At 36.7% G+C, this 17,642-nt stretch overlaps 1 protein-coding gene across 10 annotated transcripts in view; it reads right to left on the reverse strand.

The window, feature by feature from the left end:
* CPNE4 (copine 4) overlaps positions 1–17,642 on the reverse strand; it is a 506,038-nt gene that overhangs the window by 128,037 nt on the left and 360,359 nt on the right. For all 10 annotated transcript variants that reach the window (NM_153429.2, NM_001388326.1, NM_001289112.2 and 7 more), the window contains one exon: positions 8,070–8,159. In NM_153429.2, coding sequence (NP_702907.1) covers positions 8,070–8,159 — 90 coding nt within the window. The remainder of the gene's footprint in view (positions 1–8,069; positions 8,160–17,642) is intronic.

The raw sequence follows: 17,642 nt of genomic DNA on the forward strand, positions 1-17,642 counted from the left end.
CTGCAATCAGATAAGTTCCAGGACATTTAGGCAGACTGAACTATTGACAGGCACAAAATCAGCAGCTCTTGAGTCCAGAAGGCCATAAAGAAAGCACTTGAATCTGACCAGATCTCCAGAAAACTCAAGAGGACCATGAGCTATCCAAGGATTTTTTTTTTCCTGTTACAAATATAAGGCACATAGAGAGGACGGTGAAATTGCTTTCAGTTGCCTAGAAATGCCAGGTTCTTTGTTGCAGGTGTTTCCAACAATGCTGAACATAGCAGTGGACTCCTCAATTCCAACTGCCTGTGTTTTGCACCAATAATCGTGAAATGTTGATGTAATTCATATCTAATGATTAAAGCCCTTTCTATGGGTTTGGGGGAATTATGGGGCTGAATTGGGATCAATGCCAAGGATTCAGATCTGGGGGTTGGAACTTGTCTTTTCCTTTCCAAGCAGTAAGAGCTAGAAGGTTTGCTAGAAAAAAATCAGCTTGAAACAGAAAGAAAACAAACATGCAATTAATTCTAAAAGATTAGAGGCAAAATAAGAGGCAAGTAGGGACCCAGGGGTTAAGAGTCACATGAGGCTGGGAATAAAGGGGGAAGTTCCGAGGCAAACTCTATGAGTGGACTCAAATCCATTTGGCAGTAGTGTGTCAGTCTGGCTCAGAGAGGCCAAAGCAAAGACAGTGAATTTGTGGAGAAAATACAATTTCAATTGAAGATGGCCTGGTCACACATGAAATAAGAAAGATATGAATAGTTGGATGTAATCAAAAAACAGGTGTTAAGGATTTCTTATAGGAGGAAGAACAGAATGTATCCATACACATACACATATACATATACACTCAGCCTCACAGTAAGGCATCAGAAACCGTGCTGAACTACATAAGGGTGGTACCTGTAGTGAGTCAGCTAGGTTTGGAGAATCAGTAGAAAGACAGTATTTCTCTTTTTGCAATCTATCCATTTGACAAAGGTCTAATATCTGGAATCTATAAGGAACTTAAACAAATTTACAAGAAAAAAACAACCCCATCAAAACTGGGTGAAGGATATGAACAGGCACTTCTCCAAAGAAGACATTTATGCAGCCAAAAAACATATGAAGAAAAGCTCATCATCACTGGTCATTAGAGAAATACAAATCAAAACCACAATGAGATACCATCTCACACCAGTTAGAATGTTGATTATTAAAAAGTCGGGAAACAACAGATGCTGGTGAGGCTTGGAGAAATAGGAACACTTTTACACTGTTGGTGGGAGTGTAAATTAGTTCAACCATTGTGGAAGACAGTGTGGTGATTCCTCAAGGATCTAGAACCAGAAATACCATTTGACCCAGCAATCCTGTTACAGGTATATACCCAAAGGATTATAAATCATTCTACTATAAAGACACATGCACACGTATGTTTATCACAGTACTATTTATAATAGCAAAGACTTGGAACCAACCCAAATGCCCATTAATGATAGACTGGATAAAGAAAATGTGGCACATATACACCATGGAATACTATGCAGCCATAAAGAAGAATGAGTTCATGTCCTTTGCAGGCACATGGATGAAGCTGGAAGCCATCATCCTCAGCAAACTAACACATGAATAGAAAACCAAACACCACATGTTCTCACTCATAAGTCGGAGTGGAAAAATGAGAAGACATGGACACAGGGAGGGGAACATCATACATCGGGGCCTGTCAGGGGGTGGGAGGCAAGGGGAGGGAGAGCATCAGGACAAATACCTAATGCATGTGGGACTGAAAACCCAGATGATGGGTTGATAAATGCAGCAAACCACCATAGCCCGTGTATACCTACATAACAAACCTACACATTTTGCACATGTATCCTAGAACTTAAAGTAAAAAAACGTAAATTAAAAAAAATAATAAAGTAAAAAACTTAAAGGAAAAAAAAAGACAGTATTTCTCAATGTGTGTTTGGCAAATGGCCTGTACCAGCATTGTTTATGAAAATTGTTAAAATGAAGACTCCAGGACCACTGAGTGTGGGATTCTGATTTAACAGAGCACTTTTCTGATTGTCCAGGAATCCAGCTTTGGGGGTGTCAGAAGGCAACTCAAGAACATGGCTGTTTTAAACCAACCAGGCATGGCAGCCTAAGATAGACGGCGCAAAGAACAAGCGAGATGAATCATGGGTGAAATGTCATTCAGGGGTTGCTTTAGACTTGTATTTGGGCCTCCTTTCACCCCTTAGTGGGTTCCTGGGTCTTACTCCCTTCTACTTTGACTTTGGGGACCTGCTTCTTCTTCTCTTCTGCCATTTCCTTTACTGCACCATGGGCTCAGTTAATAACCTGGGCCTCTCTCCTACATAAGGCATGGGGGCGAATTGATCCAGAACAACTGGTGCTATCACCTTAGTTTTCCCCTTCAAGGCAAATAGCTCCTATCAACCATACTCTGATGATGCTTGATGAACTTTGTGTAGGGGAAAGTATCCATGTTACTTGTGTGGTTTGGAAATTAGAGAAAGAGATAGAAAATGGCCCCATAATACATGTGATTAAATGGTCTCAGGGTGCTTATATGGTGTTTGTCAAGATTGTTCTGGCATGACAGTTTTCCACAGTGCTAGGCATAATTGGGTTATGAATAAATACTTGCTGATAGTACCCTCTCACCATTTTCTTCTCTAAGAACACTCTCTGGAAGAATCTATTCTGAACATCAACATTGCCTCCTAAAGAATATGTTCTGGGTATTAACAATATGTTGATCAAATCAAATAAAATGATTAATGCCATATTTCCTAGAATCTAAGAGGTACATATTTCTGGGAGAGTAATTTATTTTCTTATAAATCATACATTGATAAGTAAGCATTGTGTTATAGTTTTATTGAGAGACTTTCCTTTAGTGTCTCAGACCTTATGAAATGTTACATATAGACAAATCTTCTGTTAAATATTAGCATAATGGTAAATAAATCATTCTGGTTGAAAAGGTCAAGAAATAGGCTTATCAGGATGATTTCTTTTCTAATAAGTATAATACAATAAAATAGAGGCAGTGCAATCTGATTAAAACAACATTGAATTTGATGTTTAACAACATGGGTTTTTGAGTCTCAGTTTCCTCATCTGTAAAATGAAGATAATGGAACCTACCTCACAATGTGGTTAGAAGTAAATGAAATTATGATATTTATAAGGGCCTTATAAACTCTAATATGCTTTAGAAATAATATATATTGAGTCTATCCTAGAATATGGCATGTCTAGGATGCCATAGAAAGTAGTAGTGTAATGCCTTTATGCAGTTCAGAAGACATTTTAGCATGTTGTGGTGTTATCTCTTGGGTTACCATAACTAGTAAAAATATGATCTGAATATTTAAGGTATTTAATTGTATTGAATATCATAGGTAATTAAGGCTCAGTAGACATGGCTGAGAAAGCACTGAGTGTCTGATACCTTTAGAGTTACATTAAAAAATGAATCCCAGCCAGGTGCATTGGCTCACGCATGTAATCCCAGCACTTTAGAAGGCTGAGGGAGAGGACTGCTTGAGCCCAGGAGTTCGAGACCAGCCTGGGCAACATAGCAAGACTCTGTCTCTACAGAAAAATTAATCTCTGCCAGAATTAATGGGGAAACACTATAGAATTTTCTACTATGTTCATGAATAAGACAAGGAGGCCCTCTACCTCCACTGCCATCTATCACATTGAGGGTATTAGAAGAAAAAAAGGGGTAAGGATAAAAACTATCTCCATTTTCAAGTAGTATGATTATATATTTGGAAAAAAACATGCTGGGCACCTATAATCCCAGCACTTTGGGAGACCATGGTGGGCAGATCACTTGAGGTCAGGTGTTTGAGACCAGCCTGGCCAACATGGTGAAACCCTGTCTCTACTAAAAATATAAAAATTAGCTGGGTATGGTGGCACACGCCTGTAATCATAGCTACTCAGGAGGCCAAGGCAGGGAAATCACTTGAACCTGGGAGGCAGAGGTTGTAGTGAGCCTAGATTGCGCCACTGCAATCCAGCCTGGGCAACAGAGCAAGAGTCCATCTCAAAAACAAACAAACAAACAAACAAACAAAAAACAGAAAGAAAAGAGAAAAAGAAAAAAAGTTAATGGGAAAATCACTATAAACAATAAGAGAACAAATATTAGTTTAAGAAAAAATTCAATGACCTTCATTTATGCAAACAATAGAGGTTCTAAGAGGTACATAGAAAATAAGAGAAAAAATATTAAGCACTCCTGCAAAACACAAAAGGAGACTTGAATGAATGAAAAGACATGCCATATTCTAGGATAGGAAGATTCAATATTATAAAGAGAAAATTCTGCCTAATTCACAAGTTAAATGCAATCTCAATAAAATATTATCAAGTTTTGGGTTTTTTTCTGGTATTAGATAAGTTGTTTATAAAGCTCAATGAAAAAAACAGGTAAAATATCCAGGAAAACCCTTAAGAAGGCAAGGAATACGGAAGTGGGTATGGCTAGCTGTACCAGGTATTAAAATATGCTACAAAACGTAGCATACAAAATATGCTACAAAATGAAGGTAAAAGGTAGAAGAGACAGGAATGGAAGTTAATCTTTTCTGAATATTCCCTGTTTTGCAGTTTTGACTTTGGAACCATGTAAACATTTAATATAATTATAAGGCAAAATTAAATTTGAAAAAATATCTAAAAATTGAAAACAAAATGAAACAAATGAACCTGACTGTTCCATGGGCTATAGGTCCACAGAGACCTTAAATACTATGGAGAGGAATGATTTTGAGAGACATTAAAATATGGCTCTGCATCCATAGAAATACATATGTAATGAAGAAAAAGAATTGTAAAATTTCAAAATTGATTTAGGTCAAGAATTCATTCCAGAAAGCAAGGACGTTATCAAGCAAGGACGTTACTAAGTTTATATCAAAAGAATTCAAGAGCCAACTTGAAGAAGCTTTTATTGGCCAAATATGGGACAACTTAAGATTTCAAAGGAATTATAATAACTGAAATAGATGGAAACACTGAAATATATTTAAAAAATCCATAAATTGTTAATAATACTGGGGCATTCTTGCCAGAAAACAGACCCTGAAATCTGATCAAGTTCTAAATATGCATTTATAGGAAACACAGAATGTGAGAAATGCTATGGGACAAACCAGCCTGGTTTCTTCACTAAGTAAATTACAGGGGGAAAAAAAAGGGGAGCGAGAACGAACTGATTAAAGGAGGCTTCAGAGACATCTCAGTCAAATACAGTGCTTAGACCTTGTTTAAATCTTCACTTAAACAAATAGAAACAATTGTTTAATAAATGAGAGACTCTGGCAAACATAAACAATGGCAGAATATTTGGTGGCATTAAGGAAGTATAGTTAGCATTCTTAAGAATAATGTTTTATAGTTTTATTAATGGAAAGATTTATTATCTGTTAGCAATGTTAGCAATACATACTGAAGTATTTTCTGATGAGATGACAAGATGTTTGGGATAGGAACACAGTGTGACTTTCATTGGCACTTTTGCCTTCATGGGCCCCTTTTAACACAACAGATTTTCATGGACCCTAAAAAGTTCGTTGCTTTCTGATGCAAGAAAAAAAAATTAGAATATTTTAGTTAATCTTACATGTTCATTCTCTTCTTCTGATTTTGAAAGAAATTAAAACATTTTCATAGGTTCTTGAGGAGTTTAACAAGGCTCCCAGGTGACTCTAATGTATAATAAGTTTGATGTACTATACCAGTGGTTCTTAACTGGAAGTGATTTTACACTCTAGAGAACATTTGGCAATGTCTGAATACACTTTTGATTTTCAGACTGACACAGGCAGCAGGGTGTGTGAGTGTGTATGTGACGGGGGTGAAATGCTACTGGCATCTAGTAGCTAGGGTTGCTGTTAAGGATCCTACAGGCACAGGACAGCTCCCCACAGGAAAATCCAAACGTCAATAGTGCACGTGTGGAGAAACCCTGATCCTTCTCTCCCCCCTCCCTTCCTTCCTTTTTCTTTCCTTTCTTCTTTTTTTCCTTCTTTTCCTCTATTCTTCCTTCTCACATTCTTTCTTTCTCTCCTCTATCATCTATCAATCAATCATCTATTTCCTTACCTCCTACTTATTTCTCTACAGGCAGCAGAGCACTCAGAAAGCCACAAAGTGTTCCTTTTCTGCATTTTTATTTATTCAATTACAGATGACCCTCTCCTTTTATCCTCCTCATAAAAAGTTTAATGACTCCTCATAAAAAGTAGATATATGGCTAAAGGAGGTATTATTTTATTTCTGGCCAAAGAGGGTCATTTACCTCCCTGGGAATAGGAGGGTGCTACTCAACGTGTAAGTGATAATTGCCATCCTATGCCTGAAGTCACAGCTCTTGGCCATTCTGCATAGGAGCTTCCACATGAAGGACCAAATAGCCAGGAATCCTGATTTTGGCTTGAAGGTTTCCAGTGGGGTTGAGGCTTGAAATATCTCAGTTCTTACAGAGATACCAGGTGCAACTCTGAGTTGCTCCTCAAGAACATGGAAGTGAACATGTCTGCTAAGAGTTCAACTGCAAAGCTCATACAGAATGGATTTAAGCAAAGACATATAAAGCAACCTTAAAGAGCTTGAGATTAACCAATCAGATGGGATTCTAACCTGACAGATCATATCAATGAATCAAAAAATTGTATCTGTCAGAAGGTTTGTGGGGCAAAAGTAGTGAGGAAAATGTAAAACTACTAAGGCAAACATCATCAATGTCCAGCTACCCAGCTAACACTTTCCAGGGGATTAGTTGTCCTGAGAAGTCAACATGAATGTTTAGTCTGCCTGATGGACAGTGGAGGTGGGCACTCCTGGTTTTCAGAGTCTGAAGCCATTAACTGTCTCAGTTACCCAATTCTGATTTCAGGCAATAACAGCAACCTTCTGATGATTGTCTTCTCTGTGGTTTGCCCACAAGAAAATGCCCTGGTGAAGCTGATATTACTGCTTGATGGTTGTGTTTTTCACTGAACATTAATCAATTGGCCTTTTAGTTTATAGGCACCAGTCTCCAGTAGATTTGCTTAGTTATCCTTAATTGGTTGAATCACCTCCGGGCCATTGACAACAAGGAACGTCTAGACTTTCAAGGTAGAGGAAAGGCCAGAGCATGGCCTATAAAAACATCTCCTGAAATCTGCTCCTGGCGTTCAGCCTACTGTCTTCCTTTGGTGACTTTGAATGCATATTTTCTTCCAACTTTTACATTCCCAAGGTGCTCAGAAAGCCTTCGTGATAGATCGAAAAAGTGGCCACGATACTTTGGAGCTTCTTCCACCAAGAGATGTAGTCTATCTCCTTACCTTTTAAATCTGTAATGACCATGTGACTTGCTTTGACCTAGACTGTGGAGGAAGTGACCTGTGTGAGTTCTGAGCCTAGGCCCTAAAGAGGTCTTATGGGGCTCTGTTCTTGCATTCTTCGAACCCTAAGTTCACTGTGTGTGTTAGTCCAAGCTGGCCTGGGGATGATGAGAGCCATATGGCCCCACCCCTTCTCTCATTCCAGACCACAGCCAGCCAACCTCCAGAAGCAGAACCACCCTCCTCTTGGGTAGCTGACCACAAATGCCTGAGAAAGTCCAGGCAAGATCAACAGAAGAATCACCTAGATTAGTTCATCCCAACTTGTCAGTACTCAGAATCATAAGCTAAATAAATGCTTCTAGTTCTAAGCTACTAAATTTTGCATTATTCTGTTATATAACAGTAGATAATTGATATGACACTATTTTCATTTTAATAACTCTCATTTATAACCTGAATTTATTGCCATGGTTTTGTCTTTCAGAAGACATGGGTTTTGCCTCTTGATATAACATAATTGGAATTGATTTTGGGCTTTCACATAAGCTTCAATGGCTCTAGAAGAAGAAATAGCCCTTGTTTCTTCCATCGAGATGCTAAAAGATGAGAGGGTTGGGTACAGTGTAAAGAAAATTTGGGGTTTGTCAATATTATTTTGAAAAGAAATAGGAAGATTAAATACTTTTTTTAAAAAATCACATTTCTTGGACACAGATTTCTGACCTTTAGCCGGCGGTCTGGGTCTCCGCTGCATAGAGAATTTACAGATACTTTGAATGATTTCCAGGCTGGGCTTAAGTTATTCATCACAACCTGGGAAAAGAAAGAGAGGAGTGGTGAGTGGGGGAGAAATGCTTGACATTTTCACATTTCCACATTAAAACTGCTTGAGAAACCATTGTGATGCTTATGAAAAGAACAATAGCCTGGAAGAGGTGCCTTAATAAAAACTTGATGTAGTAAATCTTTTAAGGGTACCCACTAAGCAGGTCATTATGCACAGAACTCCTGTGGTCACTGTCCTGGCCGTTGTTTCATGAATAATGCCAATAATATTTTCCAGCATGTGGATGCTGAGAATGATCCCTTCTATATCAAAAGGAGTTGAAATTAAGGATAGGGCTGCCTTTGCCCATTGATAGAGAATTCTCAGTTCTGTAGGACTGTCAGTCTTACAGTATAAATTCTCTTCTCTTGGGGTCAGCAAAGGTAAAGACTCTTAGTAGGGTGAAGGGTATAGCAAGACAACTCTGCTGCTAAATAATTGGATGGTCTGGTAATCTGTGACCTTGAGTCACATCAGATTGCAAGTCAGAAGAGAAGTTTCTAGAAGAAAAATCCCAGGACCATACTTATACTAGCTTATCACCAACTCAATTACAATATCCTGGAAAGGCGTGACAAAGCAGATCTTAAGATTATAAACTATGTCTATAACATAGGAAAACCCTTTTAAAACCACTTTACTAATCACAAACTTGGCTAATCCTGGCCTAAGAATCTATATGAGTCAAATCTTATCTTGCCATAACTATGGTTCAAATAATTCAATTTGGTTCAGAATGTATGAGTAGCTGCTCTGTGCCTAGCATTGTACTGTGTACTTGAGGGCAGGGATTCCCAAAGTGTGGTTCCTGGACCAGCAGGAGCTGCATCACCTGGAAACTTCTTAAAAACACAAATTTCTAGTCCCCACCCAGAACTACCGACAGACACTCTGGAGGTGGGTCTCCTGGGTGATTCTGAGGCACAAAGTTTCAGAACCACTGCTCTAGGGGATATACAAATAAAGTTAAATGGAATTCTGTCATATTGATTTTTCTACTTAGGAAGTCTTTAGTTAGTGGAAGTCTTGGAATTTTTTGTTTTTTTTTTTTGAGATGGATTTTTGCTTTTGTTGCCCAGGCTGTAGTGCAATGGTGCAATCTTGGCTCACTACAACCTCTCCTGCATCAGCCTCCCAAGTGGCTGGGATTACAGGCATGTGCCACCACACCCAGCTAATTTTGTATTTTTAGTAGAGACAGGGTTTCTCCATGTTGGTCAGGCTGGTCTTGAACTACTGACCTCGGGTGATCCACCCACCTCGGCCTCCCAGAGTGCTGGGATTACAAGCGTGAGCCACAGCACCCGACCTAGAATTTGTTTTTTAATTAATTATCTATCCAAATAACATAATTCTTTTATAAGTGATTCCCTCTTCCACCGGATTCCTTAATATAACTAGATCCTAGACTCATTGTTAAATTTCTTCTAATGCATTGAAGTGGAGAAATAATGTTTCTGTGTGACTTTGTCATGTGTTCTAGTACACTTAGGATGATTAAAATGATAGCAAGAAGGAGAATTAGGTAAAAAATTGTTTGGGTTAAAATAAATTTCCCAACTTTATATGAAAATGCTAAAAAGTGAAGAAGTCTCATGCAACAGTTTTGAAAAACTCAATAGCAACTAGAAATTTCCTCTGAAGTTAAAATCTTTATGTGTATGTATGTATGAGTGTACACATGTGTGTGTGTGTGTGTGTGTGTGTGTGTACGTGCAGGCTACCCACAAGTGAGCAGTTTTGCCTGGTATTTATTTTGTATCTACTGAGAAAGCAAGAGAAATCAATGTCATGTTGCTTCACTCATCGGAAAACCTTGCCATCATGTTCCTTGTGAAACTCTAGGAGCACCTCCCCATTAGAGTAAAAGGGGATATTATAGAAATTCTTGGGAACAGGAGAATTTACCAATATCAATGAGAAGAATGCTCTCAGGAGCAGAGGAGAGGAGGTTCTGGAAGAAAAGTACAGCAATAGTCATCCTTTCAATTTTTTATTTTTTGGGCTGTTACTTCAAGAATTTATCCTTTATGTTAGAAACATTCCACTTATACTGTTTTGGTTATTATAAAATATGTAATAAATTATTGTTGACTGTAGTCACCATATTGTTCTGTCAAATACTAGATCTTATTCATTCTAACTAGATATTTTGTACTCATTAACCATTATTACTTCCCTCCTCCCCTACTACCCTTCGCAGCCTCTGCTGTCCATCATTGTATTTTCTATCTCCATGAGTTCAGTTGTTTTTATATTTAATATTTAGCTCCCACAAATAAGTGAGAACATGTGAAGTTTGTCCTTCTGTACTTAGCTTATTTTACTTAATATAAAGACCTCCAGTTTTATCCATGTTGTCACAAATGACAGAATTTTATTTGTACTTTTTAGAGTACGGAATAGTACTCCACTGTGTATATGTGCCACATTTTCTTTATTCATTCATCTATTGATAGACTTGTAGGTTGCTTCCAAATCTTAGCTATTATGAATAGTGCTGCAATAAATATGGGAGGGCAGATATCTCCTGTATATACTGATTTCCTTTCTTTTGGGTATATACCTAGCAGTGTGATTGCTGGGTCATATGGTTGTTCTATTTTTAATTTTTTGAGGAACCTCCAAACTATTCTCCACAATGATTATACTAATTTACATTTCCACCAACAGTATATGACAGTTCCCTTTTCTCCGCATCCTTGCCAGTATTTATTATGGCCTTTTGAATTTATCCAAAAAAGTTAATATTAACTGAGGTGAGTGCTATCTCATTGCAGTTTTGTTTTGCATATCTCTGATGATCAATGATGTTGAGCACCTTTTCACATATCTATTTGCCATCTGTATGTCTTCTTTTGAGAAATGTTTATTCATATCTTTTGCCCATTTCCAAATTGAATTATTAGATTTTTTTTCTCATAGAGTTGTTTGAGCTCCTTATATCTTTTGGTTATTAACCCCCTGTCAGATGGATAGTTGGCAAATATTTTCTCTCATTCTGTGGGTTTTCTCTTCACTTTTTTTATTGCTTCCTCTGCAGTGCAGAATTTTTTTTTAACTTGATGTGATCCCCTTTGTCCATTTTTGCTTGGTTGCTTGTGCTTGTGGGGTATTATTCAAGAAATCTTTACCCAGTCCAATGACTTAGAGAGTTTCCCTAATGTTTTCTTTTAGTATTTTCACAGTTCGAAGTCTTAAATTTATGTCTTTAATCCATTTTGATTTGATTTTTGTATATGGTAAGAGATGGGGGTCTAGTTTCATTCTTCCACATATTGATATCCAGTTTTCCCAGCACCATTTATTCAAGAGACTATCCTTTCCATAATGTCTGTTCTTGGCACCTTTGTCAAAAATGAACTCAATGCATGTGTATGAATTTGTTTCTGGGTTCTCTATTCTGTTCCATGGGTTTATGTGTCTGTTTTTATGCCAGTACCGTGCTGTTTACTGTCACTTTGTAGTATAAATTGAAGTCAGGTAATGTGATTCCTCCAGTTTTGTTCTTTTTGCTTAGGATAGCTTCGGCTATTCTGGGTCTTTCATAGTTTCATATAAATTTTAGGATTGTGTTTTCTAGTTCTGTGAAGAATGTCATTGGTATTTTGATAAAGATTGCATTGAATCTGTAGATTGCTTTGGGTAGTATGCACATTTTAATAATATTAATTTTTCTAATCCCTGAACATGGACTATTTTTCCATTGTATTGTGTCCTCTTCAGTTTCTTTCATCAATATTTTACTGTTTTCATTGTAGAGATCTTTCACTTTTTTGGTAAGTGAATTCCTTTTATTTGTAGCTATTATAAATGGGATTATTTTCATGATTTCTTTTTCAGATTGCTGCTGGAATATAGAAATGCCACTGATTTTTTATGTTGATTTTGTATCTGCAACTTTGCTGAGTTTATTAGTTCTAACAGTTTTCTTGTAGAGTCTTTAGGTTTTTCCAAATATAAGATTATATCATCTGCAAACAAGTATAAATTGACTTCTTCCTTTTCAATTTGAATGCCCTTTATTTCTTTCTCTTCTATGATTGCTCCAGCTAGGACTTCCATTTCCATGTTGAATAACAGTGATGAAAGTGGGCATCCTTGTCTTTTTCCAGATCTTAGAGGAAAGGCTTTCAGTTTTTCCCAATTCAGCATGATACTAGCTGTGGGCTGTTGTATATGGCTTTTGTTGTGTTGACGTATGTTTCTTCTATACTCAGTTTTTTGCATTTTTTTTTATCATGAAGGGATGTTGAATTGTATCAAATGCTTCTTCAGTATTAATTGAAATGAGCATATGATTTTTGTCCTTCATTCTGTTGGTATGATGTATCACATTGATTGATTTGCATATGTTAAACCATTCTTGCATCCCTGGGATAAATCCCTCTTGGTCATGGTGCATGATCTTTTTCATGTGTTGTTGAATTAAGTTTGCTAGGATTTCAATGAGGATTTTTGTATCAATGTTCATCAGGGATATTGGCCTGTAGTTTTCTTTTTTTGATGTATCTTTGTATGGTTTTGGTATCAGGGCAATACTAGCCTCATAGAATGAGTTTGGAAGTATTCCTTCCTCCTTTTTTAAAATAGTTCAGGTAGGATTGGTATTAGTTCTTTTTAAAATTCTACCAATATGTTTGGTAGAATTCAGCAGTGAAGCCATCAGTTTCCAGGCTTTTCTTTGCCAGGAGACATTTTATCATGACTTTGATCTTGTTATTTGATATTGATCTGTTCAAGTTTTGGCTTTCTTTATGGTTCAATCTTGGTAGATTGTATGGGTGTAAGAGTTTATCCATTTCTTCCAGGTTTTCCAATTTATTGGCATATAGTTGCTCATAGTAACCTCAATGATCCACTAATTTTCTGCAGTATTTGTTATAATGTCTTCAGATTTAATTTTATTTATTTGGGTATTCTGTCTTTTTTTCTTAATCTGGCTAAAGTTTTATCAATTTTCTTTATCTTTTCAAAAAACTAACTTTTTGTTTTATTGATTTTTTTATTATTTTCTTCATTTAAATTTCATTTATTTCTGATATAATCATTATTATTTAGTTTCTTCTACTAATTTTGGAGTTTTTTGGCTCTTCCTTTTCTGGTTCTTTGAGATACATTTTAGGTTGTTTATTTGAAACTTATCTACTTGTCTGATATAGGCATTTGTAGCTATCAACTTTCTTTTAAGTACTGTTTTCATATATTCCATAGGTTTTGGTATGTTTTATTTTCATATTCATTTGTTTTAAGAAATGTTTACATTTCCTTCTTAATTTCTTCATTGATCCACTGGTCATTCAGGAGCATATTGCTTGATTTCCATGTATTTGTACAGTTTCCAAAATCCCTCTTGTTATTGATTTCTAGTTTTATGCCATTGTCATCAGATATGATACTTGATATTATTTCAGTTTTTCTGAATATTTTAAGAGTAGTTTTGTGATCAAATACATGGTCTATCCTTGAGAATGGTCCATGTGCTGAAGAGAAGAATGCATATTCTGCAGTCATTAGTTGAAATGTTCTGTAAATATCTATTAGGTCCATTTGGCCTATGGTGTAGATGAAGTCCAAGGTTTCTTTGTTGATTTTCTGACTGGATGATCTATCCAATGCTGAAAATGGGGTGTTGAAGTCTCCAGCTATTATTGTATTGAGGTCTATCTCTCTCCTTAGCTCTAATAATATTTTCTTTATATATCTGAGTGCTTCAGTATTGGGTGCACATGTATTTACAACTGCTATATTCTCTCGCTGAATTAACCCCTTGATCATTATATAATTTTTTTCTCTTTTCATTGTTTTTGTCTTGAAATCTATTTTGTCTGATGTAAGTATAGTTACTCCTTCTCTTTTTTGGTTTCTATTTGCATGGGATACATTTTTCCATCCTTTTATTTTTAGTCTGTCTCTTTATAGGTAAAGTGTATTTTTTGTAGTCTAAATATCACTGGATCTTGTTTTTATCCATTCGGCAACCCTATGTCTTTTTATTGGAGTGTTTAGTCCCATTACATTCAATGTTATTATCGATAGGTAAGGGGTTACTCCTGCCATTAGGGTTTTTGTTTTCTGGTTGTTTTGTGGTCTTCTCTTCCTTCTTCTTCTTTCCTTCCTTCCTGTGTTCCTTATAGTGAAGGTAATTTTTCTCTGGTTTATGTTTTTTTAAATTTATTGGGTTTTTTTTGGTGTATCTGTTGTTTTTCAATTTGAGGTTACCATGAGGCTTGCAAATATTATGTTATAACCTATTATTATTATTATTATTATTATTATTATTATTATTATTATTTGAGATGGAGTCTCATTCTGTTGTCCAGGCTGGAATGCAGTGGTACAACCTTAGCTCACTGCAACCTCCACCTCGTAGGTTCAAGCAATTCTGCTCCTTCAGCCTCCTTCCTAGTAGCTGGGATTACAGGCACACACCACAATGCCTGGCTAATTTTTGTATTTTTACTAGAGATGGGGTTTTACCATGTTGGCCAGGCTGGTGTCCAACTCCTGGTCTCAAGTGATCTGCCTGCTTTGGCCCCCCAAAGTCCTGGGATTACATGTGTGAGCCACTGAGGCTGGCCCATTATTTTATTTATTTATTTTTAACTTCTAGTTTCAGGGGTACATATGCAGGATGTGCAGGTTTGTTACATAAGTAAATGCGTTGAATGGGGGTTGGTTGTATAGATTATTTCATCACCCAGGTATTAAGCCTAGTATCCAATAGTTATTTTTCCTACTTCTCTCCCTCCTACCACCTTCTGCCCTCTGATAGGCCCCAGTGTGTGTTGTTTCCCTCTATATGTCCGTGTGTTCTCATAATTTAGCTCCCACTTATAAGTGAGAACATGCTGTATTTGGTCTTCTGTTCATGCATTAGTTTACTAAGAATAATGGCCCCTAGCTCCATCCATGTCCTTGCAAAAACATGATCTCATTCTTTTTTATGGCTGCATAGTATTCCGTGGTGTATATGTACCACATTTTCTTTATCCAGTCTATAATTGATGGGCATTTGGGTTGATTCCATGTTTTTGTTATTGTGAATAGTGCTGCAGTGAACATACGTGTGCATGTATGTTTATAACAATGACTTATATTCCTTTGGGTATATATCCAGTAATGAGATTATTGGGTTGAATGATAGTTCTGTCTCGAGGTTTTTGAGGAATCACCACACTGTCTTCCACGATGGTTGAACTAATTTACACTCCCACCAACAGTGTAAAAGCATTCCTTTTTCTCCACTACCTCTCCGGCATCTGTTTTTTTTTTTACTTTTTATAGTAGCCATTCTGACTGGTGTGAGATGGTATCTCATTGTGGTTTTAATTTGCATTTCTCTAATGATCAATGATGTTGAGCTTTTTTTCATATGATTGTTGGCCACATGTATGTCTTCTTTTAAGAGGTGTCTGTTCATGTTCTTTGCCCACTTTTTTATTTATTTATTTATTATTATTATACTTTAAGTTTCAGGGTACCTTTGCCCACTTTTTAATGAGTTTTTTTCTTGTAAATTTGTTTAAGTTCCTTATAGACGCTGGATATTAGACCTCATTCAGATGCACAGTTTGCAAAAATTTTCTCCCATTCTCTAGGTTGTCTGTTTACTCTGTTGATAGTTTCTTTTGCTGCATAGGAGCTCTTTAGTTTAATTAGATCCCATTTGTCAATTTTTGCTTTTGTTGCAATTGCTTTTGGCATCTTTATTATGAAATCTTTGCCCATGCTTATGTCCTAAATGGTATTGCCTAGGTTGTCTTCCAGGGTTTTTATAGTTTTGGGTTTTACATTTGAGTCTTTAATCCATCTTGAGTTAATTTTTCTTTATGGTGTAAAGATGGGGTCCAGTTTCAATCTTCTGCATATGACTAGCCAGTTATCCCAGCACAATTTATTGAATAGGGAGTCCTTTCCCCATTGCTTGTTTTTGTCAGGTTTGTTGAAGATCAGATAGTTGAAGGTGGGTGGTCATATTTCTGAGTTCTCTATTCTGTTCCATTGGTCTATGTGTCTGTTCTTATACCAGTACCATGCTGTTTTGGTGACTGTAGCCATGTAATATAGTTTGAAATCAGGTAGCGTGATGCCTCCAGCTTTGTTCTTTTTGCTTTGGATTGCCTTGGTTATTTGGGCTCTTTTTGGGTTTCATACAAATTTTAAAATAGATTTTTCTAGTTCTGTGAAGAATGTCAGTGGTAGATTAATAGGAATAGCATTGAATGTATAAATTGCTTTGGGAATATGCCCATTTTAATGATACTGATTATTCCTATGCATGAGCATGGAATAATTTGCCATTTCTTTGTGTCATCTCTGATCTCTTTGAGTAGTGGTTTGTAGTTCTCTTGGTAGATCTTTCAGTTTCCTTGTTAGCTGTATTTCTAGGCATGTCACTCTTTTTTTTTAGTAGCAATTGTGAATGGGAGTTCATTCATGATTTGGCTCTTGGCTTGATTGTTGTTGGTGTATAAGAATGCCAGCAATTTTTGCACATTGATTTTGTATTCTGAGACCTTTACTGAAGTTGTTTATTAGCTTAAGAAGCTTTCGGGCTGAGACGATGGGGTTTTCTAGATATAGGATCATGTCATCTGCAAACAGGGATAGTTAGACTTCCTCTCTTCCTATTTGAATGCCCTTTATTTCTTTCTCTCGCCTGATTGCTCTGTCAAGAACTTCCAATATTATGTTGAATAGGAGTGGTGAGAGAGGGCATCTTTGTTTTGTGGCAGTTTTCAAGGGGAATACTTCCAGCTTTTTCCCATTCAGTATGATGTTGTCTGTGGGTTTGTCATATATGGCTCTTATTATTTTGAGGTATGTTCCTTCAATACACAGTTTATTGGGAGTTTTTAACATTAAGGAATGTTAAATGTTGTTGAAAGCCTTTTCTGCATCTATTGAGGTAATCTTGTGGTTTTTGTCTTTTGTTCTGTTTATGTGATGAATCACATTTATTGATTTGCCTACATTGAACCAACCTTGCATCCTGGGGATGAAGCCTCATGGTGGATAAGCTTTTTGATGTGTTGCTGGATTTGGTTTGCCAGTATTTTGCTGAAGATTTTTGCATCAGTGTTCATCAAGGATATTACGCTGAAGTTTTCTTTTTTTGTTGTTGTGTCTGTGCCAGCTTTTGTTATCAGGATGATGCTGGCCCCATAGAATGAGTTAGGGAGGAGTCCCTCCAATTTTTTGAAATAGTTTCAGTAGTAATGGTACCAACTATTTTTTGTGTATCTGGTAGAATTAAGCTTTGAATCTGTCTGGTCCTGGGCTTTGGTTGGTTGGTAGGCTATTTATTACTGCCTCTATTTCAAAACTCGTTATTGGTCTGTTCAGAGATTCTATTTCTTCCTAGTTCTGTCTTGAGAGAGTGTATCTATCTGTCCAGGAATTTATTCATTTCTTCTAGATTTCCTAGTTTATGTGCATAGCGGTGTTTATAACATTCTCTGATGGTT

Source organism: Homo sapiens, chromosome 3 (genome assembly GCF_000001405.40).
Source record: "Homo sapiens chromosome 3, GRCh38.p14 Primary Assembly".
Taxonomy (NCBI): domain Eukaryota; kingdom Metazoa; phylum Chordata; class Mammalia; order Primates; family Hominidae; genus Homo; species Homo sapiens.